The sequence below is a fragment of the Homo sapiens genome, chromosome 5 (assembly GCF_000001405.40).
Source record: "Homo sapiens chromosome 5, GRCh38.p14 Primary Assembly".
NCBI lineage: Eukaryota > Metazoa > Chordata > Mammalia > Primates > Hominidae > Homo > Homo sapiens.
The window spans coordinates 125,814,716-125,842,100 of NC_000005.10; the positions used below are offsets into that span (position 1 = coordinate 125,814,716).

Consider the following 27,385-nt stretch of genomic DNA (forward strand, 5'->3'; position numbering starts at 1 on the left):
CCCACTTATTAATTTCTTTCTCCATTAAGGAATTCTAATTCTAGGGTAATTTGATGATCTAATGTTACAAAGATTAAAATGTACTTGAAAACTACCACTAGCTTCCCATGCAGTAGCACCTCTATGTGCATATGGGTACATGAGTTCTCATGTTTTTATCTTTAATCTACTATGTATTGTGTGTGTGTGTATATATATATATGTATATATTTGTGTATATTTACATATACATATGTCACTGCAAAATTTCTCCTTGACACCTAACAAAGATATCACTTTTTACTTGCAAAGAAAATCAGAATGGAAAAATAATACCTAAATGGTGAGCCAGATGAAGTAATTATTTTGGGATTATAAGGAGAATGTTGCTGGGAAAAGAGCTTGAAATTGTGAAATTTCTAAATAAAGAGGCCTTTCAACAAACTGGAGCAGTCTGCAAGGGCACTATCTAAACATAAAGCCTACTGATCTCAGCATTTATTCCATTGACTTCTGGCAGGTTTTAAAGGGAGGGGGGAGATTTTGCTATAAAGTTTATATTTTTAGGTGTATAGCTTTTTTTCTAATTCTTTTTATCTCCACTGAGTCTTCTTCCCTCAATCTATTTATCATACTCACGGTCAGAGGTAATCTTTACTATAGCATGAAAATATCCTAAAAATTAGAATTATATGAATTTGAAGTAAAAATATATACCATCTTATTAGTGAATTAGCTTGTCCAAAGCTTAAATACTTGGTAGTTCTTTCCAGATAAAATAGAATATTGTACAAGAGTGTAGGCTTTAGAGACACAGAGGTTGTTTTGGAATGTTGATTATGACACTTCATAGAGTTGTGAATTTGGGTTACTCATTTAACTTTTTTGAGCTTCAATTTTCTCATCAAAAAGTATAGATGGTAATATCTATTAAATGGAGTTGTTAAGAAGATTACAACAAAAACCTATTTTGGCAAAGCATTTACTAGAATGGCTGACCCATAGGAAGTCTTAGTCAGCTGCATCTGTTATAATTATGTGACAATATCCTTTGTTACTTCCATTTTGAATTTTCAGGCTAGCCTCTAGGTTCTAATCTTGGGGAAAACTGTTCCTATTAGTTATCTTAATTTCTATCAATTAGATTAAGTTTCTCTCCTATTTATCAACTCATTATAAGAAACAATGACTTCTTCTACCTAGAACAGTGCCTCTCTTTTGCTACAGTTTGAAACTGCATATTATCAATCAGCTGAAAAGGGAGCTACTTCAACCTCCTACCATCCTCCAGGCTTCCCCCACCCTGTGCTGCTATTCCTAATTTCTCTCTTTTGTTCATTAAGTGTTCAAATCCTGCTGTTGACTCTACCTCTTCAATAAATATATTCTTCCTATAGTCATCAGTGATCTCTGATTTGCAAAGCCCAATGAATTACTTTTCAGTCATTTTCAACATTCAAAAAGTTGACCATCCACACCTGGAAGTTCTCCTACTATGAGTTTCTAATAGCATTACTCTCTCTGGTTCTCCTCCTATCTCTCCAGATACTTGTTATTAAAGTCCATGAGATCATTTTTCCTTTTCCTGATTCTGCATTGTAATTATTTTATCTTTAGTTTTCTTCTCTTTTATTCAATCAAGAAAAGCATATTGGTTGGTCTGACACACAATACGATAATTTTCAATCTATATCTCCAGCTCAGCATCGTACTCAAGGTGTCAGCCCATACAACCGCTACCTAGTAAACACTACTTAGAAAACATTTCAAACATAACTTGTCCAGAACAATATAACATGACCCCTCTACAACTCACTAACTTTACTTTCTACTCTGGTAACTTATACCACCATATTCTGTCTTAGCCACCCTGGGCTGCTATACCAGAATGCCAATCTAGGTGGCTAATCAACAACAAACATTTATTTCTCACTCTTCTGGAGGTTGGAAGTGTGAACTCAGAGTGCCGGCATGATTAAGTTCTAGTGAGTACCCTCTTCCAGTGGCTTTGCCCTCATAGGTGGAAATGGGGGGTGTAGGTGTTTCGGGTTTGTTTTACTAATGGCACTAATCCCATTCATGAGGGCTCCATAATCATGACCTAATTACCTCCCAGAAGCCCTGCTTCCTAATACCTTACATTGCAGGTTAGGATTTTAACATATAAATTTTGGAGAAACACAAACATTCAGTTCATAACATATTTCCAGTTTTCCAAGATGTCTAAAGGTCATTTTATATTTCCCACTTTCCGATATTCCACTTAAACATTATGTCAATTCTACCTTCATAATATCTTACAATTTATTTTCCTTCTGTACTATCGCTGCCTTTGCCTTACATTAGACCCTCTTCTTTTTTACCTGGATTTCTTATGAATTTTCCCTTCTCCTAGTCTTCTTTCCCTCTATCCCAAATCCATTAGCCATACTGCCACAAAAAATCATTTTAATGAAGTATAAATTGATTGCATCATTCTCTTAAATCATTCCAAGTTTTCGTATTACCTTCAGGATAAGTACCACCATAGAATACATCTTTCCTGTTATTTTTCTCCCCCCCCCACGTTCCTATACAAATGCTCCTTGACCTAAGATGTTGATATGGTTTGGATGTGTGTCCCCTCCAAATCTCATGTTGAAATGTGATTCCCAATGTTGGAGGTGGGGCCTAGTGAGAGGTATTGGATAATAGGGGCAGATCCCTCATGAATGGATTGGTGCTGTCCTTATGGTAATGAATTCTCACTCTATAAGTTCACATGAGATCTGGTTGTTTAAAAGAGCCCAACACTTCCTCTCTTCTCTCTATTGCTCCCTCTCTCATCATGTGACACACAGGTTTCTCTCACCTTCGGCCATGATTGTAAGCTTCCTGAGGCCCACACCAGAAACAGATGCCAGCACTATGCTTCTTGTATAGCCTGCATAACAGTGAGCCAAGATAAACCTCTTTTCTTTATACATCATCCAGCCTCAAATTATTTTGTTATAGCAAAGCAAATGGACTAACACAGGTGGGGTTATGTCCTGATAAACCCTTGTTAAGTTGAAAATATTATAATTCAAAAATGCATTTAACGTACCTAACCTTTGGAACTTTGTAGCTTAGCCCAGCCTACCTTAAAACTGCTCAGAACATTTAGAATAGTTCACAGTTGGGCAAAATCATCTCACACAATGCTTATTTTATAAAAGGATTGTATATCTCCTGGTTGTTACCTTCAAGATCATGTCCCTGTCTGGGACCTGTGGCTCGCTGTCACTCCCCAGCATCCAGAAAGACTACAGTACTGCATATCACTAGCCCAGGAAAAGATCAAAATTCAAAATATGGTTTCTACTGAATGTGCATTGCTTTTGCACAATTGTAAAAATTAAAAGATCATGTCTAACCTTTGTAAGATGGGGACTGTCTGTGTATATTTTGTGCTATCAGCATGATGCAATATTTGTGTACCCCTGAAGATTCTGTACACATTCACATCTTGGCTCTGCCCATACTTTTCCAATTTGCCTAAAATATCGTTCACATTCTTCTTCAATCACATTGTTCTGGTTCTTCAACATTTATCTCAGCTTTCACCTACTGACTTCATCTCCTGCCTGAGATAGGTGTCCTTTTCCTGTGCTTCTCTTTGTCTGTATGCATTGCTATCATAACTCTTACCATTCTGTACTTCAACTGTTCATTGATTTGTCTTACTGGACAATGAGATTCTCTAAGACGAGAACATGAGGCACACTTTATCTGCTACACAAATCCCCTCACCTGATACACATCTGGCACTCTATAAATATTCATTAAAGCAATAGCTAAATAGCCAGTGCCGTTCACGTTTTGTGATCTCTACCATCATCTTCCCTCGGTTCCTTCCCTGAATCATCTTCTTGATGTGTGTATGCTAGGTTCTTTTCTCTCCATCTTTGCTTTTCCTATTTCCCCATTTCACACTTTACTTTTCAGGTTTTCTAAACAGGTTATTACCTCAACATAGCCATTATAGAACTCTCTCACTCTTCTTTCTCTGAGTTCTGATTTTCACTTATATTTTTCAGTGAACCCAAAGTTCACTAATTATAGGTTCTTAGCTCTTCAAAGCATTAGTACCTCAGTAGCAAAACAAGTTCTACCTGGAGATTTCATTCATCTCAAAGTTCATCACATCTCCCTCAAGAAGTTACTAATTTAAATACACTATCACATGTTAAATTGGTTTGATGTATTGGGAAATGATAGCACTGGTTTATTTTAAAACATGCAATATAACTGAGGCCTAACATTCATATTTTATAACATCAATTTCTTTCCCTTCCAGAGGTTATATCTGAATCAACAGTAATGCTTTAGAAAGAAGAGTGCTGTAATGGTAGCCAGACCATTTAAAAATATTCCCTATACTCACAAGCAAGAGCAATCTAAGTGAAAATATACCACAAAATTAACAGTTATGAATTTAATGTAAACATTTAAAAGAATGGGATATCATAGAAATCTCTTTCTAATTATCAATAGGACTATTTTTGTGTTTTTATGTTCAAAAAAAAGGACATTGCTTTAAGGCATTGATAAAAGAATAACATTTTTAAACCAAGTGATTTCAAAGCCTTGTCTAAATTACAATCTCAAAATGTCACCCATCTTTCTTATTTCTTTGGAGTCAAACTTAATTACAGGGCCTTTAAATTGATCAGACCTGATATACCAGGAGGATTTCCCAATATATTTTAGCCAAGTAGAGATACACCAATGATGTGTTGAGCTGAATAATTTTAACCATCCTATCTTTTTCTGCATAAAATTGAGTTTCAGATCATGCCTTCAACTGAGATTATAATTAATAACAACTTTTCCCTTGAAATGCTGAAATAGCATGCATTTTGCTTAGATGAATATGTTCTAGAAGCCAAGTGCCAATACAAAAAAGAGTACACAATTTGTTCTTTATGTGAGGCCACATTAATAACTGAGATTTACAGCTAATCAGTGCAAATTGTTATTATTTCCAAAATTATAAGCCTAGCTGCCTATACAATTCTACATATTTACAGTGACTTTAAAAGGATGTGTCTGATTTTAAAGCTCTGGCCTTTAAACAAAAAGGTCTTTTTCATTATGCCAAACAGAGAGGTGATGCTGTTGAATAAATTTATGCTGTTCTTTTACGTGTGCGTGTGTGTGTGTGTGTGTGTATGTGTGTGTGTAGATACATACACTTATATATAACATGGAGGACTGCAATAAAAATGACTATACAATTGGGAGAAAGGTAAAATGTTACACAAATACTGTGTATATTCCTTGTCTATCCAAGGTTTCCTTCAAAATTTAGACATTGTTTGTATCTTGTATATACCCTAAATTGCCCAATTTCACTAAATCATTTGGACTTTTTATAATTAACAGGAATATGCTACATGAGAAGCGTAACTTAAATTTTCTAATATTGTCCAAGCTGTAAACTGCTTTTAGAGGTATAATCTCTATCATTTAGCCCCATTATGTACTTTATGAAGGTATTACCTGTATTTTATACTCTTAAAAAACAGTGAATTAAAGCATTTTTTGCCACTCGTATAGTGAAATAAGATTCTGTAACATAAGCCTAATCAAACTTAACTTAGTCCTTTTGTGATTTCCATAAAATTAAAAGATGATAATTTGACACATTAAAAAGCTGAGTGGTTTATATAGCCATAAGAAATTTGATACACATTGTAGCTTCAACATCTATTCTCCTGGAGGAGCTTGCTATAGCAGCATGACACACAAATACTTATTTTTAAAATATATCTTAATCCCTAAACTAAAAAGTGGGTAAAGAATATATATATATATATATATATATATATATATATATATGCAATTAATAGAGAAATATAACTGGCCAATTAGCATTAGAAAAATGTCCAACTTCAAAAAATAAACAAAGAAATAAAAATTTAAATAAAAGATAAAAGTGTCGGTGAGGTTTTGCTGTGTTGGACTGATAGAACTTAAATCGATAAGAAACTCAATACACGGTAATTTGACAATAATTTAAAGAAACTGATAAAAACATATACTCCTTTTAATACAGATATTCAACTTACCAGAATTTATCCTAAGAAAACAATTATAGATGTATGTAAAGACTTAGGTTCAAATATATCTTTAGCGTTGTTGTTAATGATGGCAAAAAAAGAAATAGAAACGATCTGAGTCCAAAGATAGAAAAATAGCCAATTTACTGTTTAATAGTACAGCATTACAGACATTAAAAATAATATTGTAAGAGAATAAATTATGCCATTGAAAAATAGATATATTTAGTTAAGGGGGAAAATAAGAGCAAGAAGAAGATTGCAATTATATGTATAATATAATCCCAGTTTAGAGGCAATATAAGTTTTGTAGCTAAGACCCACTCTAGTTTGAAGCCAGATGAATGAATTCCAGTTTGGGCTGCACCGTTGACTAGCTGTGTAACCTTTAGGATGCTATTTTAACCTTTCTGAAATTCAGTTTCCTTATCTATAAAATGGCATTAAGAAACTTTCAAATTTGCAGGGCCTTTGTAAGATTTCAAAGGAATAATTCATATATGGCTGTTAGTACAATGCATGAATAAAGTGGGTATTCAGTATATGTTAATTTTATAATTCTTATTATATAATATGTATATTTTGTGTCATATTTTATGTTTATATTACATCTGTATAATATGCATATTTTATATTAAATGTATGTTTATGACCAAACATTCACTGAAACTGTTAAAATGACAGTTTCTTAGAGGTAGGATTCTGAATGGTTATTTCATATACACCTGGATTTTTCTTCAGTGAATACATATAACTTCTGTAACAGGGAAAAAATAAAATTATATAGGAAAGATTAAGCTAGAAGCTCCAGCAGCAATATCCAAACACTGAAAGTTCAGGGTCTTATTTCTTGTTTCTGCAGTCTCCACGGGTTAGGTGGCTCTCCAGAGAGGTGCCTGCCAAACAGTGATGTGAGTCTGTCTGCATCATAAAGCAGCAGTACCTAGAACATGAGATTTCTAGACCTCTATAGCAGCAGCAGTGAGCTAGAGGGCTCTCTGGGGACTTTGCACTGCTTCTGCCCAGAGGTAATACATGTTCCTTCCACTCCCAATCCATTAGCCACACCAGTCACTTGGCCCTTCCCATGTGCAAGGGGGTTGCAGCAGGGGCGGTGGGGGGACACATGGATATGTGATGAAGATTAAATGTCTCTCCCACAAAAAAGCGAAATCTAAAAGAAAACTAAATTAATAGATTTTACTCAAATCAGACATTATTTCATGACTTCACTTGGCAATTTTGATTTCATGAATCTTTCAAAGAGAGTACAGGTTACAAAAGCTCTTTAACTTTTTCCCTAGACAGACCTTCCACAGCAGCTGCAGTTGAAGACCAGAATTAAACAGGCACACAGGAGAGACTATTCTAGGACCTGCCTCTCACCAACGTGCAGTATGACTCCAAAATACGAGTCAGTACACATCTTATTGTGGCATAAATCTAAATGTCATAGAATACTTATTTTTGCAGCTTTTTCATGGAATGCTTGGTAAAATAAAGACAAATAAACATATTCACAGAATGAATTATAATTCCATGTCAGCTTAGCTCTTTTCAGCTTTGGTGAAAAGCATAGATGTAGCAGAAGTGGGGTGAAATTTATACTTTTTAGTAATTGATGCTTATAACTACTGTCTGAGATAAGTACGGTTGTACTCAGTCTAAAGGCATGAGACTTATCCAAGTTAGTAAGTAATCAAACTGGGTTTTGAACAGACCTAGGTGCTCAACAATTTTGTACGCAACCTTCCTGCAATCAAGTTGGGGGTAAGAAGGAACAGCAATACTATTGTTTCATTTTAACTAAAACAGAGAACTGGGAGCCCTTCTCAACTACTCTGGGAAAAACTGGGCCATGTTACTGCAGTCAGTCTCTCAGTCAGAAGAACCCAAGAAAATTGCCTTGTGGGAGTAACTACAAAGGAAAATGAAACAATGCCTGCTACTCCAGTTTATTTTTAACAAAATGAATTCATTTTCATAAACGGTAGCATTATGTGTAGCACTATATGATTAGAGGAGACTGAACTTGTAGCCAGACTGTTCCGAGATTGAATCCTCACTTCACTACCAGGTAACTTACATAAATCACTTAACATTTCTAAAGCTCATTGTCCTTATTAGAAAGTGTGAACAAAAATAATTTGAAATCTATGTCATAGGGTGTTGGTGTCATACATTTTATCATCAGATAAATTTAAAAATAAATGAAAACTGAAAATACCACCTTGGATCTTTGGAGGGACTCTGCAACATTGGTGACACCAGTGTTCCTGGCCTGATCCTCCATAGGATGGGATTGTTGAAAATTGAATAAAGTTGATGGTAATTGCTACATTTATTTCTATTTTCTGGACTTCTGTTTCTAGAGCTCACGGATCTATCCTAGACCCTAGAAGAGACTACTGTGCACTGGCACATAGACACTTTGACTGCAACGATGGATAGGAAGTTTTACTGATGAGAAGGAACATTCGGACATAGACAGGTTAAGTAATTTTCCCAATTGCAACATATTTCAGAGTTGACAAAAGTCTAATCATGCTTCTCTCCTTGGACTCCCTAAGTAGGTCAAAGATATCATCATCCTACAAGTTTCTGAGCTAGAAATGTCCCTGCCATCATCCTTCAACTCCTTCCATCACCAAATGTTATCTGAAGCAAAAGTCGGATCATGCCACCGAAAATCCTCATATGTATCTGAATGCTTATTGGAGGAAGTATAGACAAATGGGCAGATAATTCATTCATCACACTCTTCTCACTGCAGCCTCAGAGATGCAAGGTCTACAGGTACAACAACTTTGCAGAGGCTAGAAAAAGAGGATCATCTCAGCAAAGGGCAGCGGCAGTATACCCTGCCCACATGAATGTTAACAAACCACGTTGTGAGTCTCTCATTTCATTGGTTTTCCATTACTCTATTGCTTAGTCATAAGGCCCACTCATCCTTTGGCAGCAGTTTACAGAGTTCTCTTTCCTCCAGCATCTCCTGGGAAGTGATGTGAGCCACACTCTGCAGGTCAGAGTCAGAGGTGATCAGAGCTCAAGGTCACACAGCCAGTCAGTAGTGAGTGGCAGAGTTAGAAGTACAGCCAGCTTGGGCTGTATCTCCAGGACTCTTTTCTCTGTGTCGACCATGTTAAAGTAACCCTTTGTGGCTAGTCATTCAAGATCATTGAAAGCGCCAAGCACTAAGAAAACATTAAAAGAAAATACAATGTTTCTTACATTTCTCTCTTGCAAGGAAGGAAGATTCATCAATATTTATTCTAAATCAGGATCGAGGATAAAAGAGTTTAGCAAAAAAGAGAATATAGAAAAGAGAATCCCCCAAAATATGTTTACAGCCCTTTAGGATTCATCTATAAAGGACATTATATATTGCCTTATTTAAGCTACCCTTCAACTTGGTGCAAGCATAATACTATCAATCCCACTATATAAAGGAAGAAAGCAAAGCTCTCAGAGATGAAGTGACCAATTCAGGGTACACAACCAAGCTAGGATTTGAATACGGATGTGTAGAAAAGCTACAGGTGGAAAATAGGAAGGCCTGGATAAGAGTAGAGGGGTCTAGAGACCAGGTGCAGCAGTGGGGTCTGCTTAGCTCTGTGGGTGTGGAGGGGCTGTTGGTGCATGGTCCACTCGCTGTTTCTTCCCCCGTGATTCTGTGTGACTTCTTTAGCTCTGTGTTGCTGGTATGGAACTCCAGACTGGAGCTCACGTTCTCTGCACTCAGCTGCCAGAGGCAGCAGTGTGCTTAAAGTGATGAAGACCATTGACTGGTTTCTTTGTGCTTTAGTGAGTTCCATATTTTTTTTTGTATGAGGTCAGTATCTCCTTTGTGTCATGTTATTACATTCAGTGGAATCCATATTCATTAATATTTGAAAAAGTCAGAGACCTCAATTAGGCAAGGAAACCCTGGGTCCAGCTGACAAATGAGATTGACCCTTATTGATTCTTTTCCTTTTCCTATGTTTCTAAACATGTCTACATTCACAGTTCCTTTTCTTCATCTTTCTATTAGAAGAGAGAGAGGTAAGAAATGGGAGCTCTCAGGAAAGATAAGAACATCAGCCGTCTAGGGCAACAGGTTGATGAGGGACAGAGGGCAGAGAGGAAACTAGGGCTTCTATCAAAGCTCACAGACATGCCCCCACCAACCTGGGTGTGGTAGAGAGCTCCAGGATAAAAATCCCAAACATTGTGATGCTGGGGCTACAGGCTGGCTTACTCCAAGAGAAGAGGCCTGCAACACTTACTCATAGCCACCTTTCCATCTGATGTGTCTTTGGGTCAAGCCTGTCCCTTGCTTTAGGGCTGAAATGCTGAACTTGTAAAAACCTCCTATCAGATATGACTTAGTCTGTCCTCAGGGAACAGGATCCTATGGAAAGGAGCATATATAACCCTGAAGACTCGAGATCCTATGTCCTTGTCATTCAGCAGAGGACTACTGACTGAAATATCAATTTAAGACCATATGCAGAAAAACTATCATTACTTGAGTTTTTCAGAAAGGGATTAGTAGAAATTATTTATATCCACTTTCAAAAGGAAAGAATAGAGATCTTTAAATCAACATAGGAAGTCACATTATTCATTTATAATGAATGTCTGCTGCTTGCTTAGAAAGAGGAGACTAAGAAATGGGTTCCACTCTCTAATTTTTTTTTTTGCTTTCAGCATCAGTGCAGACAGAGCAAGAAGAACAAAGTAGTAGCTTTAAAAGATAAGGTTCTGCTATTCAATGCCAGCCTCCCAGCATTAACCTTAATCTCTCTTATTTCATGAGATCCCAGGTCCACAATTGCTGAGGATGTCAGTTTCTAGAGGAAAACAGAGCCCTGAGAGGAAAGGCCCAAAGGAAGAATATCAGAATTTAGGAAACTTCTCCAATTAATGCTCTGCCCCTCCATGGGAATTAAATAACAATAGAGCTGGGCAGTGGGTCTTTCCTACTAAATGTTGATGTGAGATATAGTGGAAAGGATACTGGCTAAGTTTGGAAAGAAAATTTCCAGGTCAACCCTTTGAACAAAGTGTTAATTTCCCTAAGTTTTAGACTCCTCCTTTGAGAGGGCATCCTGCCCACAAATCTCATTGAGTTGTGTTGATCACATGGGATAATGTATATCAAGGCCCTTTTTAAATGACATAGCACTGTACCTATGTGAGCCTAACTATTAATGTCATTGACCGTTGGACCTTAAATTCCTGGAGCTCTCAGGGCCTAAACTTAAATCTATTCCCAATGAAGCATATTACAAACCTCCTACAAAGTACCTTTGCTCCTACCTTCACCTGATGCAATACAAGCTACTTTTTCTATTTAAAATAGCTTGTTTGCAAAGGGCTAAGGTAGCATAAGACCACCTTTCTCTTTGCAAAAGGTAATTAATCTCTTCTGTTATCCCAGATAACCCACTTTCTAGCTTGTCCCATGGAATTCCAGTGTCCCAATGCAGTCTGGGTTTGACATGAGAAGGAAAACCCAGAGGGAAGGGGATGTGAACACCAGATGTGGGGTGAGGGATCACAAGAGTTTCATAAATTCCAGGATATTCAGGTATGTGACCCTTGCCAGGCCCACCAGGCCCTCCTGTCCCCATTCTCCTTCTGGATCCACTTTGTGCCTCCTGACCCCTACTGGTGCAACATTTTTACTATCTATGCCCTTTCTTTTCTTTGTTGTTTTGTTGGTAGTTTTCTGGAGCATATACAGCAAAATTTGTGCTCTGTAGGGTATAATAGAGCAACCACAGAAGCAGACATTCTGTTCTTCTATGAGGAGGCAGGAAAAGATGCTGTGCTTTCTCCATCACCTTTGGGATTGCTGAGCATCACTCACTCGGCCTTCCTTCCTCTGGCCTCCACCCTCCCACTGGACCCTCCCATTTTCTCATTTCCCTTTGTTTTACCCTCACCACTAGGTATCTTTCTTCCCCCAGAGTCTGGTACAAAACTGGATCCCATAGTGTCCACATAGCATCTTTTACCGCACCACTATCTTTTCTTTTCCACCCCCAGAGCACACTCAGATACTGGACCCTATTCCCCAGTCACACCCTGCTTTGTCTTTGGGCCTTACCTCCTCACCTGACTCCACACTCTCTTAGGATTACAACCTCTCTCATCAAAGTTGACACCTGACTCTCTCCCCTCAATCATGGTTTCTAGTGTTTCACTGGACTGTCTCCTCACAACCATAGTTTCATATGAGGGACTCAGCAAGGTTCAAGACAGAAAAAGACCCGGACGGGGGCCTCCTGCACAGTTTCAAGAGGAACCTAATGAAGGGTCTCAGGGCTGACTTCCAGGAGGAGATAATAAGTAAATTCTGTGAGACATTCACAAGATGATTTCTCAAGGTTCCCAAGGAATAACCTAAACAAGAGGGTTACTGAAAACACCCAACCCAAAACAGTTACTTGGGGAAGAACATGGGGCAGACCAACTAGATGAGGGTCCCAGTGGCCATGCACCCTTCATGGACTGCTGCCCACTCTACATTGTGCCATCTGGGAAGGCCCACATCCACCCAGCCACCGTAAATATCTTCATCTGATCAATAATATCACAAGAATGCTTCTCTGGAGCTTTCCTTTCTTAATTTGTGTCCTCAACAGTTTCTAGAAGCTCACAGAGTGTACTTTTGGATACACCGGATATGGTGTCCACTGTGTGAGGTCCTTGAATCCAAAACATTGTTTGAGGTGAGCCAGGCCTCTTCCCCATCCCACTTTCCCTGGCTCATTTATTCATATTTCAAGAGCTGATACAATAAATGAGGCAGTGATGATTCTTGAGGTAAACCCTCAAGCAGTCTAGGGAGAAGAGGTTGTATCAGAGTCAGGGTTTTACAGAGAAAGAGAACCAAAAGGATGTATCGATATAGATACAGAGATAGGTAGGTAGGTAGGTAGATAGATAGATATATAGGATAGATAGATAGATAGATAGATAGATAAATAGATATACAGATAGATTCATAGATACATAGACAAATGAAAAGGCTTATAATAAGAAACTGGTTCTTACCACTGTGGAGTCTAACAAGTCCTAAAGTCTGCTGTCAGCAAGCTGGAGACCAGGAGAGCTGATTATGTAAGTTTCAGTCTAAGTCTGAAGGTCTGAGAACCAGGAGAGATGATGGTGTAGTTGCAGTCTGAAAACTAGCTATCTCAAGACCCAGGAAGATCTGATGTTTTGGTGCAAGCCTGAAAGCAGAAGGAAAACAATGTCCCAGCTTAAAGGCAGTCAGGTAGGAGGAACCTAACAACTTATACCTCACTCCCAGATCTGTGCTTATCTTCAAAGACACACAGGTGTGTGGTGAGGTAGTCCAACACGATGTGTGCACATGAGAGGGTGGCTACAAAAAGATCTGCCCAAAATGTCTGCACACTACCGGAAGGATTTCTTACTCTAGCTTGGCTTCTAGCCCTGGTTCCCCTTCCCCTTCCCTAACTCTTTCCCACATAGGAAATAAAGAAGGCCCTCAAAAGCAGGAAATTCTATTAGCTAAATGATGATGGGCAGATGAGGACCTATTCCAAGAGAAAATTTTCTAGTGCTTTTTTGCCACACTCAAGGCCCAAGTGTAGGGGCAGAAGGATCAACTCCAGGAGGCATTATTCACATTTTCTAGAGTTGTATTTGAGGAGGAGCCATAAATAACAGAATGCAACAGGGATGTGGCTCCCTGGTAATCCTTGGTGATTATCCATCACCAAGTCCTACACCCCTGCACTCAATGTTGGGGTAAACAAAGTGCATGGCTGAGCTGGCACCTTGGTATGGAGTGGGCACAGTGTCACCAAAGGGCAGCTGTTGATGCCCAAAATTCCAAGAGCCAGCTCCCATCTAAAGGGCTTGGATTCCTGGAGGCAGCCCCATGGAGGGAATCAACATGGAGCATTGAATCCAAATCTTCAAGTTTAGTGCAAGGCCCTGGCTAGTTGAAGGGTTCCGCCTTTTGAGTCCTCTCATCTGGAAATGTCATTAGCTGTGCAAGCTGCAGCCTAAGTTACCCTTTCAACTTGTTGGGGTCTCAAGGACATGTTTGGGTTCATTTAGAGAGGCCAGTGGCAGTTAAGAGACGCAGAATTTGCTCCCTCTCACCTCTTCTGAGAGCCCTGGCAAAGGGGTCAATGATTATCATGTCATTTTTAGAGGGCTGGGCCAGGCTTCAGTGTGAGGGAGTTTAGGCTGACAATGACAAAAGGGTAATTTCTGAAACAATCCCTGATCTACCTGCTCACTCTGTATTATGCAATTTACCTTCAGGACACAATATCCAAGTTATTAATTTCTATACCTATTCCCTGCCAGAAGAGACACTCAGAGGCTGGAAAGGTCACTTTGCCCACCTCTCCTCCTGGAAATTCTAGGCTTCTGGTCTCAGAGTTTGTTAAAGGTATTATATTTGCATGGACCAATACAAAAGTTAAGTATCTTTAATATATGTTTATCTGGATTTTTGTGTGGGAGGGGAATGTAGCCACATGTTCCTGAGAGGGAGGGGATGGAGTGTGGGGTGGGAGGGGTGTTACTGTGTTGAAAGTGAGGGATTCACCCAAGGATAGCAGTCTCTGCCGTCTTGAGAAAAGATAAGTGGTGATGTGTGTGCTAATGTCAGAGCCTGGGTTAGAAGTACCCCAGGAGGCAACAGGACTTTTGATGAGTGGGCCAATGTGTTTGCTGAGGAAGTGAAACTTCGTGCACCACAGACTTGAGCTCTGCAGCAAAGTATGACAGCACCCTACCTCGCAGAGAGGCAGTGGAGCCACCTGCCTTTGAATGGATCATGTCGCCTCATACAGTGACCATCTCATTTGCAACCTGGATGGACTAAAGGCCAAAGGATATTTCTAAGTATCTGACAGTGTTTACATTGCCAAACAGAGAAATGAGTCTCAATTAGTGGTTCATATTTAGTAACTTGGCATCATATTAAATGGGAACTTAGAGGCAGATTCCATTGAATTTTTAAAAATTAAATAATTTGGTATATCTTATACCTCAGTTGTAGGCAAATTTATAATTTTTTATTTATTATCCCATTTAAACTTTACAACTCTTTGAAATGAATATTGCTTTCCCCTTTTTCAGAAGGAGAAACTGAGGCACAAAGAGGCTCATATATATTTGGTGGCCTAGCATAGAAAGAATCATGATTGGAAAAGCCCCTTGTAATGTGGAGAAGGATTTGGAGGAAAGTGACAGAAGATACAATTTAAAAATATCATTTCAGGTCAAGCTCAACTACAAGCCATATCATCAGGAGGGGCTCTGAATTTTAAAGTCTAGAGTCTCACCCTTTGATCTCAATCTCTACTCCTTTCAATACATGCCCACCAAATGCCAGTTCTCCAGAAACTCTGGTCCTGTCCACGAGCAACTCATCTGCATTCTTCCTTTGCCGTGTTAGACTTCACAGTCCAGCACTTAAATAATATCTAACACACCCTTGTCCCTTTCTATTTTCATCTTTTCTGTCTGACAAAATCCCAGCTCTCTGCTTCTTCCAGACCTACCTTCTGATATGTGACTAAGACCTACTGAAATAAATCACACAATCAAGTATATTGTACCACCATAATTTTAAAATCTATAACTAACAGTCAATTCCAACACTGTATGGTAATCATTCATTCATTCATTCAATCATTCATTTCATATAAACAGTAAATATTTTCCACGTGTTTTTTGAATGCATAAATGAACAAAATAGATAAATCTCCCTGTTTGTTGGGTCTTATGTCATTATTTCTCATTCTTAACAAAACTACTTCAAATGTTTCTCACTTTAACAAACTTCTGTTTCCCCAATCCCCTCAGAAGATGGACTGGAACCCACTTCACAGAGAAGCCAGAAGTCAGCAGGATGCAACTTTTCTTCCTCAATACTCTGTGTGTGTGTGACTTTTGGTTCATATTCATCTTCTCCAAGAATAGGGATCATATCCATTATCACACACTTCTCATGAGCAACTTGTGCTTAGCATCTAGCTTGTATTTAAGATCCATTTGAAGAAATGAAATCATGCAGGATTTCCTCCAGATTTTTCCAGTAAAACACAGTAATCTTACTGGTAAACAACTGAGCTTTTACATAAAAAATTCTAAATATAGCTTTCTAATGTGACATTTATGACTTTTTTCGCTGTCAAGAAAAGAAATCAAAGCTATGGGAGCATCATCCAAAGTTGTCCTGCTCATAAGAATTTGAAAAAGCAAAGCCATCCACTAATTACATGAAAAATATCCTCCTCTGGGAGAAAGCAGATTGGAATACTGGCAAGACTTTTATGTTAAATGGGGATGTCACATAATATCACTGTTTTTTAATGTTGGAAATCATGTTATTAGATATCTCATTTTACATTTTGATAGAATCATTAATGTTCATATTATACAATAGCTCCTGGTATAAAAGTCATGGATATGGGGAAGAAGTACTTGGAAAACTTCCTGTTAGTTACCTCCAAAAACACATGCTATGGAAGAAGACCGTTTTTAGCTAAGAACTGTATTACAAGTTAGAGTATGAAAGGTGCATTGAAATCAGTGCTGATGAAACAGTTGTGTGATAACAAAGTCAGGGGTTACTCAATGGATAATAAAGAATTGTGTCTGATCATCGATTCTGATATGGTTTGGATCTGTGTTCCCACCAAATCTCATGTGGAATTATAAGCTCCCATGTTGAAGGTAGGGCATGGTGGGAGGTGATTGCATCATGATGAAACTTTTCTTCCTCAAACTTTTAAAACATGTGCATCCTACTTCTCCTTTTCTCCTTTTCCTTGCTATACTGACAGAGGGTTAGCACCATCCCTTTGGTGCCTGTTTTGGTGATAGTGAATGGGTTATCATGAGATCTGGTTGTTTAAAAATGTGTGGCACCTCGCCCCTCTCTCTGCCTACTGCTCCGGCCATGTAAGATGTGCCTGCTTCCCCTTTGCTTTATGCCAAGATTGTAAGTTTCCTGAGGCCTCCCCAGCCGTGTTTCCTGTACAGACTGTGGAACTACAAGCCAATTAAAATTCTTTTCTTTATAAATTACCCAGTGTCAGGTATTTCTTTATAGCAACGCAAGAACAGACTATTACAAGTCCTTACTCTTGTTTTATTTGTTTTACTCAACAATGTATGCCTTCTAATGTACATTTTAGTACTGAACACATTGGTGAGATTAAGAAGAGGATAAAACCAAAACCATTTAATATATGCTTTTTAGGGATTATGCAAAACAAAAACCAACAACAAAGACTGTACATCCATCCTGAAGTATGGAAGCAGCCAATCAATCAGAATGGTACTCACAAAAATTGTTTGAAATGAGTAGTAAATAATGAAAACATTCTTTCATGATCATGGTCATTCTGGTAAGTATCATTTCCACAATTTCAGTTGGCTTAATCCAGTGACGTACCTTGGCAATGTATTAATATCTTAAATACCTTTAAGTTATAAATTCAAGTTGAAAATAACAAAACTTTTAATTTGATATGTAATATAATGAGGTTTCCTAAGATTATTGAGCTATGATGTAAACGCTTCAATCACCTAGGTTTTGACTGCCAATATTAGTAATATTACCTACTTATTAGTGAAAGAAACCAATGATAGTTTGAGTCAATATACACAAACTACATTCAGCATATGAAGAAGTATGGCCCTAAGTTGTCTATAACCAAGGAGTAAACTGAAGATCCATTTGCTGCCATTTCAGAAGTCACTAACATTCAAGCTTCCATTTTTATTTTTTTAATGTGCTATGAATGTTGACTTAGTATCTTTTGTGAGAAATCATTCCATAATTTCAGATTAATGTTTGATCTAAAAATATGCAGAACTGCCTTACAAAGTCAGGATACACTTGCTAACATTCTCAATAGTATATGAAATGAATTATAATTTCCTACCTTAAAAGAAATAAGAAAAAATAACATCTGGATTTGGGACTGACTCAAACTATACATCACCAACGAGAAATAGATACCTCAATGAAAATTTGCAAAGAATTGTATCCTTCTTAATAACTGATCACTTTTACAATTGTATTTTATTTTATTAAATTACAACAAACCTTTTTCTCTGAACTTTATGTAAAACTGAGTCTCTTTGTAGCTAAAAGCCCAAATTTTCAGGGAAAGAAAAATGCAGATAGTTTGGCTAAAGCACTACCATGTTTCTTTGAGCTCCTTGAAAAGCGTTATTTTTAGCAGAATGTAGTTAAATGCCCTCTCCACCCCATTACCCTGGTGGATAACTTTCCAGATTCAATGTTTTTACTCAATTCCCCAAGCTAGAGTCTACAAATTCTCCTAGACTCTTCTTAAAACTTCCATTCACCTCTTGACAAACTGAAGACAGTAATCAGAATCTGATTAATGTTTCCTCTTGGGGGAAAAAAATAAGGAGAACATGCTGACCCAAACCAGCAGACTGTTCCTTTTAAAAAGACACAAAAGTTTAGAAACAAAAAACAGAATCTCTATTTTCAGTCTATGAAGCAATTCCTCTCTGTTAATTAGCTCAAAGAATGTCAAATTGAATCCCTTAAATATGTGTTGGCAATGTGAATTATTTTAATTATAAAAAGGAATACTACCAAACAAACCACGTTTAATTCAGTAAACAACCATCCACAGGAAATAGGTTTTATCAAATCAAGTAATCCTCACATTATTTAACAACCCAAAAGGCACTGCTTGGACATTTCATTATTAATGACCTTAATAGCTCAAAGGACACTTCAGGCTGCTGCTGGAATAATGTTTTGTGGCTGAGGCTTTCATTTTTTCCTGACAAGAGAGCTAATTTGACTGTTTATATGTCAGTGCCACAGCAGTGCTGATCTCATCATATTACCTTTATTTTCAGTTCTCGCCCAATGGTCCCAGGGATATTTTACAACAAAAGAAATTTTCAACAGAAACATCTTGTGATGACCCTGACTGCACAGATGTCTTAGTCTGTTTTGGTTGCTATAATAAAATACTACAGACTGGGTAATTTGTAAAGAACAGCAACTTATTTTCTCACTGTTCTGGAGGCTGCCAAGTTCAAGATCAAGGTGCCAGCAGGTTCAGTTGTCTGGTGAGGGCTGCATCCTCTGGAGGGGAAGAACACTGTGTCCTCACATAATAGAAGGTGGAAGGGCAAGAGGGACAATTTTCTTCTGTCAAGCCTTTTTATAAGGGCACATAATCCCATTGATGAGGGGAGGACCTCTCATGACTTAATTACCTCTTAAAGACTTCACCCCTTAATGCCATCACATTGGCAATTAAGTATTAACACCTGAATTTTGAAGGAGAAACATTCAAACCACAGCAAGAGACAAAGACACAGACATACAAACATCAAATAACCAACTAATCGGGATAACCAAAAACTTCCATTTTTGAAAGAATAAGTTACCATTAGAAATGAACAGTGAAACAGGTTTCTGTAATCGAATATACTCAACTCTCTTCTCTAGGAAGAAGAGAATACCTATTTCTTTAAAAATAAAAGATAGGAAGAAAGGGAGAGAGGGAAGGGCAGGAGAAAAGAAGGGAAGGAAGAAAGAGAGAAATATTAACTGAACTTCATTTTTCTTATTTGGCTTTCTTCTAAGAGTCCAAACAAATGGAAAGCATTTCTGTTCAAAATGAGATTGCTTTTGTTCCTAACACTGATCAAGATTTTTGCTCTTTCTTCTTCTTTCTTTTTTTCCATCTCTTTTCAGGACGCCAACTCTGGGGCACCTCCCAGCTTTTGCTTGCTATGCTCAGACAACAACCTACACAAATCCACAGTTAGGCCAGCAGGCTGGACAGAGACTAAACTCCTACTCCAGCCACATGGTGGGATTTCTCAGTGCAGCCCCAGCCCAGCCTATCCAGGGCCTCTCAGGGTTACATTCTCTCAGATCGACAAAATTTGTTTCTAGGACTTTTATTGTTTTAATTCTCAACCGTCTCTTCTCTCAGCTTCCACACACAGTCACCTTGACGCATTGCTATTCTTTTCTAAACCCACCCTCGGAAGAAAGTGACAATAGAGTTTCCCAAGTTCCATGGGTAGAAGATTGGACAGAAGAAAAGGGAGCAGCCAGGACACTGCGGTAGATCCAGTTTAGCCTTTAAGGTCTGTGCAGCGTTCACACACAAAGGAAATGCGAGTCTCTTGCTACTTGCAGATGTTGCTCCCCTCGGGCACTTTGACCAAAAAAGAAAAAAAAAAAAATGGAAGAGATAAATAAGCGAAGAAGAACCTTTGTGGAGGGGAGGAAGTGAGGAAAGCCCTTTACATTTGTGTTCTCCACATACTCCATGGCAATTAATTCGGTTTCGTCCCAGGAAAAAGCTCTCAGTATAGCAAGCAACATGAAGCTTTGGGTGTTTTCTTTGTTCAAGGTTAACTTTTTGCAAGTCTGATTTCCCCCTGCTCACACAACTCTGCCACAGAGCTCTGGTAGGTAAAGCATTCCTGAGCAAAATAAAATGAAATAAAATAAAGCCTCTACTGTCTGCTCCCAAGCTTGTCTTATTGGCATTTTAAGGCAATATTCAACTCTCCTATAGACGTAATTTTCCATCAGTTATTCTGCCCCAGAGTAGAACACAAAGTGCAGAGAGAAGGAAAGAGACAGAGGCTGCCTGGAATCACCTCTATACTAATAATATCTATCAAGGTTCACTTGGGAGCGTCCCTTCCTCCTTAGGCTGCAAGGACTTTTTTTTTTCCTCCTTCTGCAAACCTGACATGCAGCCAAAAACTCCCAGTGAGGAGATATATTCATTTAACTGTGCAAAGGTCAGACAAAAATGTGGTAAGGGCATTTTATTTTTCAACGCATATTAATCTCGATTTTGCTCCCCTTCAGAGACTCTTAAAAAGCCGTGGGAGTCAGCTCAGCACCTCAATGCAGATTTCTGGCAAGCACCATTCAAGGATCTGTGGGCTGCAATGACACGGGTGGTCAAGGGCGGAATTACACAGCTCAGACCCGAGCCAGCTTCTTTGCTTTGACTGTTTTCCTCTTGCTGCGTCTCTTTGGTCTTCGGAAGGAAATCTGTTAGGTGGTTAATTTTAAGTGAAGGGCTACCTCTAGCATTAGCATGCCCAATACAAATGCTTCCAATAACAATTCTACAATTTGCCTCTGTGAAGCAATAAAAATTAATGAACACAAGAATGATGGGTGAATGTCCAGGAAGAATTTACTTTTGTTCTTTGTCAATTAATTAAAACGCACCCACACACACTTTGTTTATTTATTTTTTTATTTTTTTATTTTTTTTTTTACAGCCATGCTCTCTTCTTTTCTGGGAAAAGAGAACAAGGATGTATCATAATCTTTTTACCACATCTGGCTGTTGCATTTTCCTCTATTTTTCCAGCTCACCTAAGATTCAGCTTACGATATAGCTTCTAAACATATTATTTATTACTACCTCAATCATAGCCAAAACTTATATGTGTTTACCAAACAAATCCTATTACTATGTCTTACCTAGGTTTTGCTTATATTATGTAAAGGGTCCTTTCATTTAAAATCAGTTATTTCCTTTATTAAGAGCAGCAGGGAATTTGGTTGCACACTGCAGTGGTTAAATTGCCAAACCTGATTCAATCCAAAGAATCATCTCCGAACACTCCCAGTTGAGAATAAGCCTTGGGCAGAACTCCAATTTGTTGCAAAAAACTTTAGCATATAAAACGGTTATGAAAATATGACAACAGAAGATCCATTTCAGTACTGCTACAAAACAGTATGTTTCTGGTGTATTTTTGACCAAACATCCTCCCATGCCCCCATTTACTTCAATCAAGTACACCACCTCAGTGCTGGAGAGTGTAATAGGAACACTCTCATATTAAGATGCACACACATTTATGTGGCCATGAACATTCAAGATGTATTTGTAGAAGAATTCTGCTTCTATAAATTACATTCTCATAGAGAAAATGATAATCACTTTTAGTGCTTTGAGGTTATGCTATTTTCACATCAGATGTGAAGCTGCTTTTTGAAATCTTAGATAAAACTTTTAGATTAACAGCTACTGTGCACAGTTTAGCCCTAAGGCAAAGAAGGATGGAAAGATTAGGATTTCTTTCTTATTTAAATCTTACTGTTAAATCACATGGAGCCAGCTGAGTTCTTGGGGGGAAAAAGTCAGAAAATAGTAGAGTGAGAAAAGTAAGCACTTTAAATTGATAACTCTTCATACATTTCCCTAAACCTGCTTTTTATTAGACATTAAAAGTAGTTGGAATACATTTAATAAGTTGTTTTCGCTCTACTACTTGGAACACATTGAAGTCTTTCAAATGGTGGTTGAATCAAACATTCTGAAATGTTTTCCAGGGTGTATAATATAAAAAAAAATGCTTCTGAAATAAGATAAGGAATGTTTAACTATTATATATCACTTTATATAAATTATAGCTGATTATCAGCTATAATAATAAACATATATTGAGAAATTAGTTTTCTAAATTCTTGTCTTGTAAGAAGTAATGTAGAAAGGAAAAAATACCTAAGAGAGACTAATCTTTCCTAGTTAAAATCAATGGTTCACCGCATTACATAGAAAGCTTCCTTCCGTGTTCCCCAATCTACAGAAACAGAGAGCACTAAGTATAAGAGCTAGATTTGAGGTAAACAGTGAATTCCTTTTCAGATGACTCCCTTTATTGTTATTATATTTAAAAACATAAAGGGAGATGATGCTTGCCATCTTAGGTTATATTATATCTTTAAAAATGTTTATTTATTAATGCCTTTTAAAATTGAATTGTGAGACTTGATTCATGGTTTTCAGAAATAAGATATTTGTTTATGTGCATATAAGAAAAACTAAACATATTAAGAAATCTCCATGCATTGAAACAACTGGCTTATTTAATCTTGAGTTATTGCTGTTGGCTAAATATAATACCAGGTTGTTTTTCCTTAATTTTTAATATTGAATGAACTTGTTCAATAACTAAAATAGTAGGTGTATTTTGAACTATGCATCTGGAAATTTTTTATATTCATTCTCTATCCTCACGGAAGAGACCAGAAGCAATTTTAGTGTCCATAATTTTTGATGTAGCACAAAGGTTTTCCCCAATATTTCGCAGCAGAGCACTAAGATGCTTGACCTGCCTGAATCTGTCTCACTTGGCTAGAGATGGCCTGTCAAATCCATCAAATACTGATTGGAATAGATTACTGAGTTGATGGAGCACTGGGATTAGGCCCATCCTTCTGCAAGAGACTCCGTAATCATGATGAGAGGTTATTGTTGCCAAGGAACTCAAAAGAGACAAACCACACTGCATGCAAGGATCAACTAGAGCTTTTTGTAATGCAACAGACATTGAAAAATGATACAATTCATGACATGCGCCCCTAAGCCCAGTGAACATCAAAAAAAAATATGTTTAGCAGTCATAAAAGTACAACTGCAACATTTTAACAAAAGTAATAAATTTGGAAGGTTTCCAAGCCTTCCAAATAAATTTAATCTTTCCTTGAAGCTTAATGTTTCTATTTAATTGAAATGTAATGTTTTATTTTTTGCTCTTATAAACAGAACATGATATCTCTTAAAGGCAAATTATAAATTATATTATTCTATTCATAAAAATAAATAAATGGGAATAGGTATATAATTATTGTTCAAACATTGTAAACATGGGCTTTGAGAAGCTAATATTATTGGGATTTTACTAGGTTAAAAGCCAATGACAAAAGCTTTTCATTAAAGTAGGCTCACTGAATGTATTAATATAAGGATGTACAATTCAGCTTGCTTAAATTGTACCAGCACTAAAATGTATGACATGGAGGGTTAAAAATATATTTCCACTGGACTATCATTACTGTGGCATTTTTCTTTTTCTTTGACCCCTAGAAAACTGACTTTTCCTATGTACTACATTGCTGTTTTCCTTTAATTCATCAATGAAATGGAACCACTTTTTAAATACATAAATTCAGTCAAACAGTAAGGTATATGTGCCTTAACTGAAAGAAGATGTAAAATATGACACATTCATATAGAGACCTAAACTCTGAAATATGGAGAGCATTGCTAGTGACAACATCTTCTTGAGCAATGTATTCTGATGACAGAAAAGCCAAAATGTTTTTTTCAATATAGCCAGAACCATAGCGTATAGTAATAAAGAGGAATCCTGGTAGGAATAGCATTATATAACTGCATTTAATTTTAATAAAGATCCTAATCTTCCTAGTCACTCAAGGTATTTCCACATTTCTAGTACAGTAGAAATTTGAGGGATTTAGGCATTATAAAAATGAAATACTTTTTTCTTACAAGCACCCCTGGTCAATAATTTTTAAGAATTTTGATATCAAAGATGGTATAAAGCATGATAAACAACACCTGGTTTGAAGTCTGTTAGACATGCCCCAGCAGCTTTACATATAATGTTTTGAAAATAGATCTTCCCAAAGTTTCTTGAGGTAGACAGTATTATGTTTATTTCATAAACAAGAAAACTAAGGCTCAGAACACTTGTCCACCATCACACCCCAAGTCAGTTTGGTTGAATTGTATTGGATGAAAGGAGCCAGATTATAATAGTTATAATGTGTCTCCTCTATGCTCTCAGAGGCAGTGTTTTTACATGTAACTAGGTGTGACTGTTCAATAGCCATTATTGAAAAAACAGAGAGTGAAATTATATGTAATTACTTACTATCCTATTCCTGTCTCAATTTGTATATATCATATGGTGACTGACATCGTGTCAATTGCCCCCTAAAAATCTAAAACTTAAATTGTGCTCTTCAAAAGGGCTGTGCTGTGTTTTGTTCTTTTTTTAAATCCTATCATTTAACAGAATGCCTGATTACAGGAGAAAAGAGCTATATGAATAAATAAATGAATCACTGCATCAAAAAATTAGTTGCTTAATCTTAGAAGGCTGAAATGAAGAAATTATATAAAAATCCAATCCAAAATTGTTTCCAGAGCTGTTAAGAAAAATTAACCACAGACCAGTGACCACAATATTTGTTAGCTTGCTGGGTTTATCCTTCTCTACTTTATTATTTCCAGGTTGAGGTCATCTCTATTTTAATTTCATATCATCACTAAACAAACAGTGTTCATGTAACTGAATTTTGTTTCTAGAGTGTATTTGAATTACATAAAAAATAACAGTCACTTTGGGGCCCTTCATGGATTCCAGGATTCACTTATTTACTCACTCCACACATACACTTACTGAACACTTTCTAAGAAATAAGTGCTAAGGATAGAAATATGAATAAAATACAGTCCCTACTAATTATAAGTATACAGTTTAACCATTGGAAAAGGCTGCAAAAGACCATTATGCAATGTTTTAGGTGCTACAGAAGTGAGCTCAAAATGCTAAGGAAGAATGGGAAAGGGAATCATCAGAGAAGAGGTGTGAACTCAGTCGTGTTAGAAGACAAGATTTTCAAAAAAAAAAAAAAAAACAAAAAGGGTAGGGCATTGTAGGAAAAAGGTTAATGACAAATAGGACTTTCCTCACATAGGTGGCCATAGGTGGCTGGGTGGATGTGTGGACACATCCCAATACAGACGGCACATCACTGTCTGAGGTTTCTTTGAACTAGCCCATGCATACTGGTGGGCTTGATGCCTGTCTGCTCCTTCCACTTCTTGCCTTGCTTTCCTCTAGATTTCAGAGTTTTCATTTCCCTTGGGCCAGCTTCTGACTCCTCTTGGTCAAATCTTACTACTGACATCTCTGTGATTTTCCTGTAACCATGCCTCCTTGATTATGGATAAAAATTTGTCCTATTACAATACAAGCCAGAATCTGCTGGACATTGTCTTTGGCTCAAGTCTGTGTAATGGGCAGAAGATCTCAGTTGACTTTGGACAAGTCACTTTTCTTTCTAAGCCTTGGTTTTCTTAACAAAATGCAACATTTTTGATACAGACAGGGAAATGTTGGGTAGAGGAGGGCGGTTCTCTGGCAAAGGCCCCACCCCCAAGCCTGGAGACCCACAGCCCTAAGTGGGAACAGGCATTTCTGTTTTTGCACCAAAAACATTGCCTTTTGGCCCCTCACACCTCCCTATCCTATACCCATATAACTCCCAAACCCCAGGGTGCAGAGGCAGACAAACAGATGAGGAGAGGAGGAGAAAACACAAGAAGACAAGCAGACACCAGCAGAATGGCATGGCAGAGAAAGAGAGAAGGGAAGGAACATCTGAATGCCAAGAGGAGTTTGGCAGGGGACGGTCAGAGGGGAGTTCAGCCACTGGACAGCCAAACTCCAGGGGAAGATCATCTTCCCACTCAATCTGTCTTCCAGCTCCCCATCCATCCTGCTGAGAGCCACCCCCACCACTCAATAAAACCCCACATTCCAGCCCCAGTCAGGGGCTTATAATAGATAAAACTCCCATCTCCCTGGGACAGAGCACCTGGGGGAAGGGGCGGCTGTGGGCACAGCTTCAGCAGGCAGAAATTCCTGCCTGCTGGCTCTGAAGAGAGCAGTGGATCTCCCAACGCAGGCTCGAGCTCTGCTAAGGGACAGACTGCCTCCTCAAGTGGGTCCCTGACCCCCGTGCCTCAGGTCTGGGAGACACCTCCCAGCAGGGGTCGACAGACACCTCATACAGGAGAGCTCTGGCTGGCATCTAGCAGGTGCCCCTCTGGGACGAAGCTTCCAGAGAAAGAAGCCGGCAGCAATCTTTGCTGTTTTGCAGCCTCTGCTGGTGATACCCTGGCAAACAGGGTCTAGAGTGGACCTCCAGCAAACTCTAGCAGGCCTGCAGAAGAGGGGACTGACTGTTAGAAGGAAAACTAACAAACAGAAAGTAATAGCATCAACATCAACAAAAAGGACACCCACACGGCTGGGCGCGTTGGCTCATGCCAGTAATCCCAGCACTTTGGGAGGCCGAGGTGGGCAGATCACAAGGTCAGGAGATCAAGACCATCCTGGCTAACATGGTGAAACCCCGTCTCTACTAAAAATATAAAAACAAAATTAGCCGGAGGGGAGGTGGTGGGCACATCTAGTCCCAGCTACTTCGGAGGCTGAGGCGGGAGAATGGCGTGAACCCAGGAGGCGGAGCTTGCAGTGAGCCAAGATCGCGCCATTGCACTCCAGCCTGGGCAACAGAGTGAGACTCCATCTCAAAAAAAAAAAAAAGGATGCCTATGCAAAAACCCCATCCAAAGGTCTCCAACATCAAAGATCAAAAGTAGATAAATCCACAAAGATGAGGAAAAACCAGCACAAAATCCTGAACATTCCAAAAACCAGAACGCCTCTTCTCG

The 27,385-nt window shown here is 38.2% G+C and overlaps 1 long non-coding RNA gene across 1 annotated transcript in view; it reads right to left on the bottom strand.

Annotated features, from left to right (window-relative positions):
• The window catches only part of LOC124901056 (uncharacterized), an 891,204-nt gene that overhangs the window by 335,621 nt on the left and 528,198 nt on the right, over positions 1 to 27,385 (bottom strand). Inside the window, exon 3 of the long non-coding RNA XR_007058919.1 lies at positions 13,113 to 13,291. This is a non-coding gene — a long non-coding RNA (uncharacterized LOC124901056). The remainder of the gene's footprint in view (positions 1 to 13,112; positions 13,292 to 27,385) is intronic.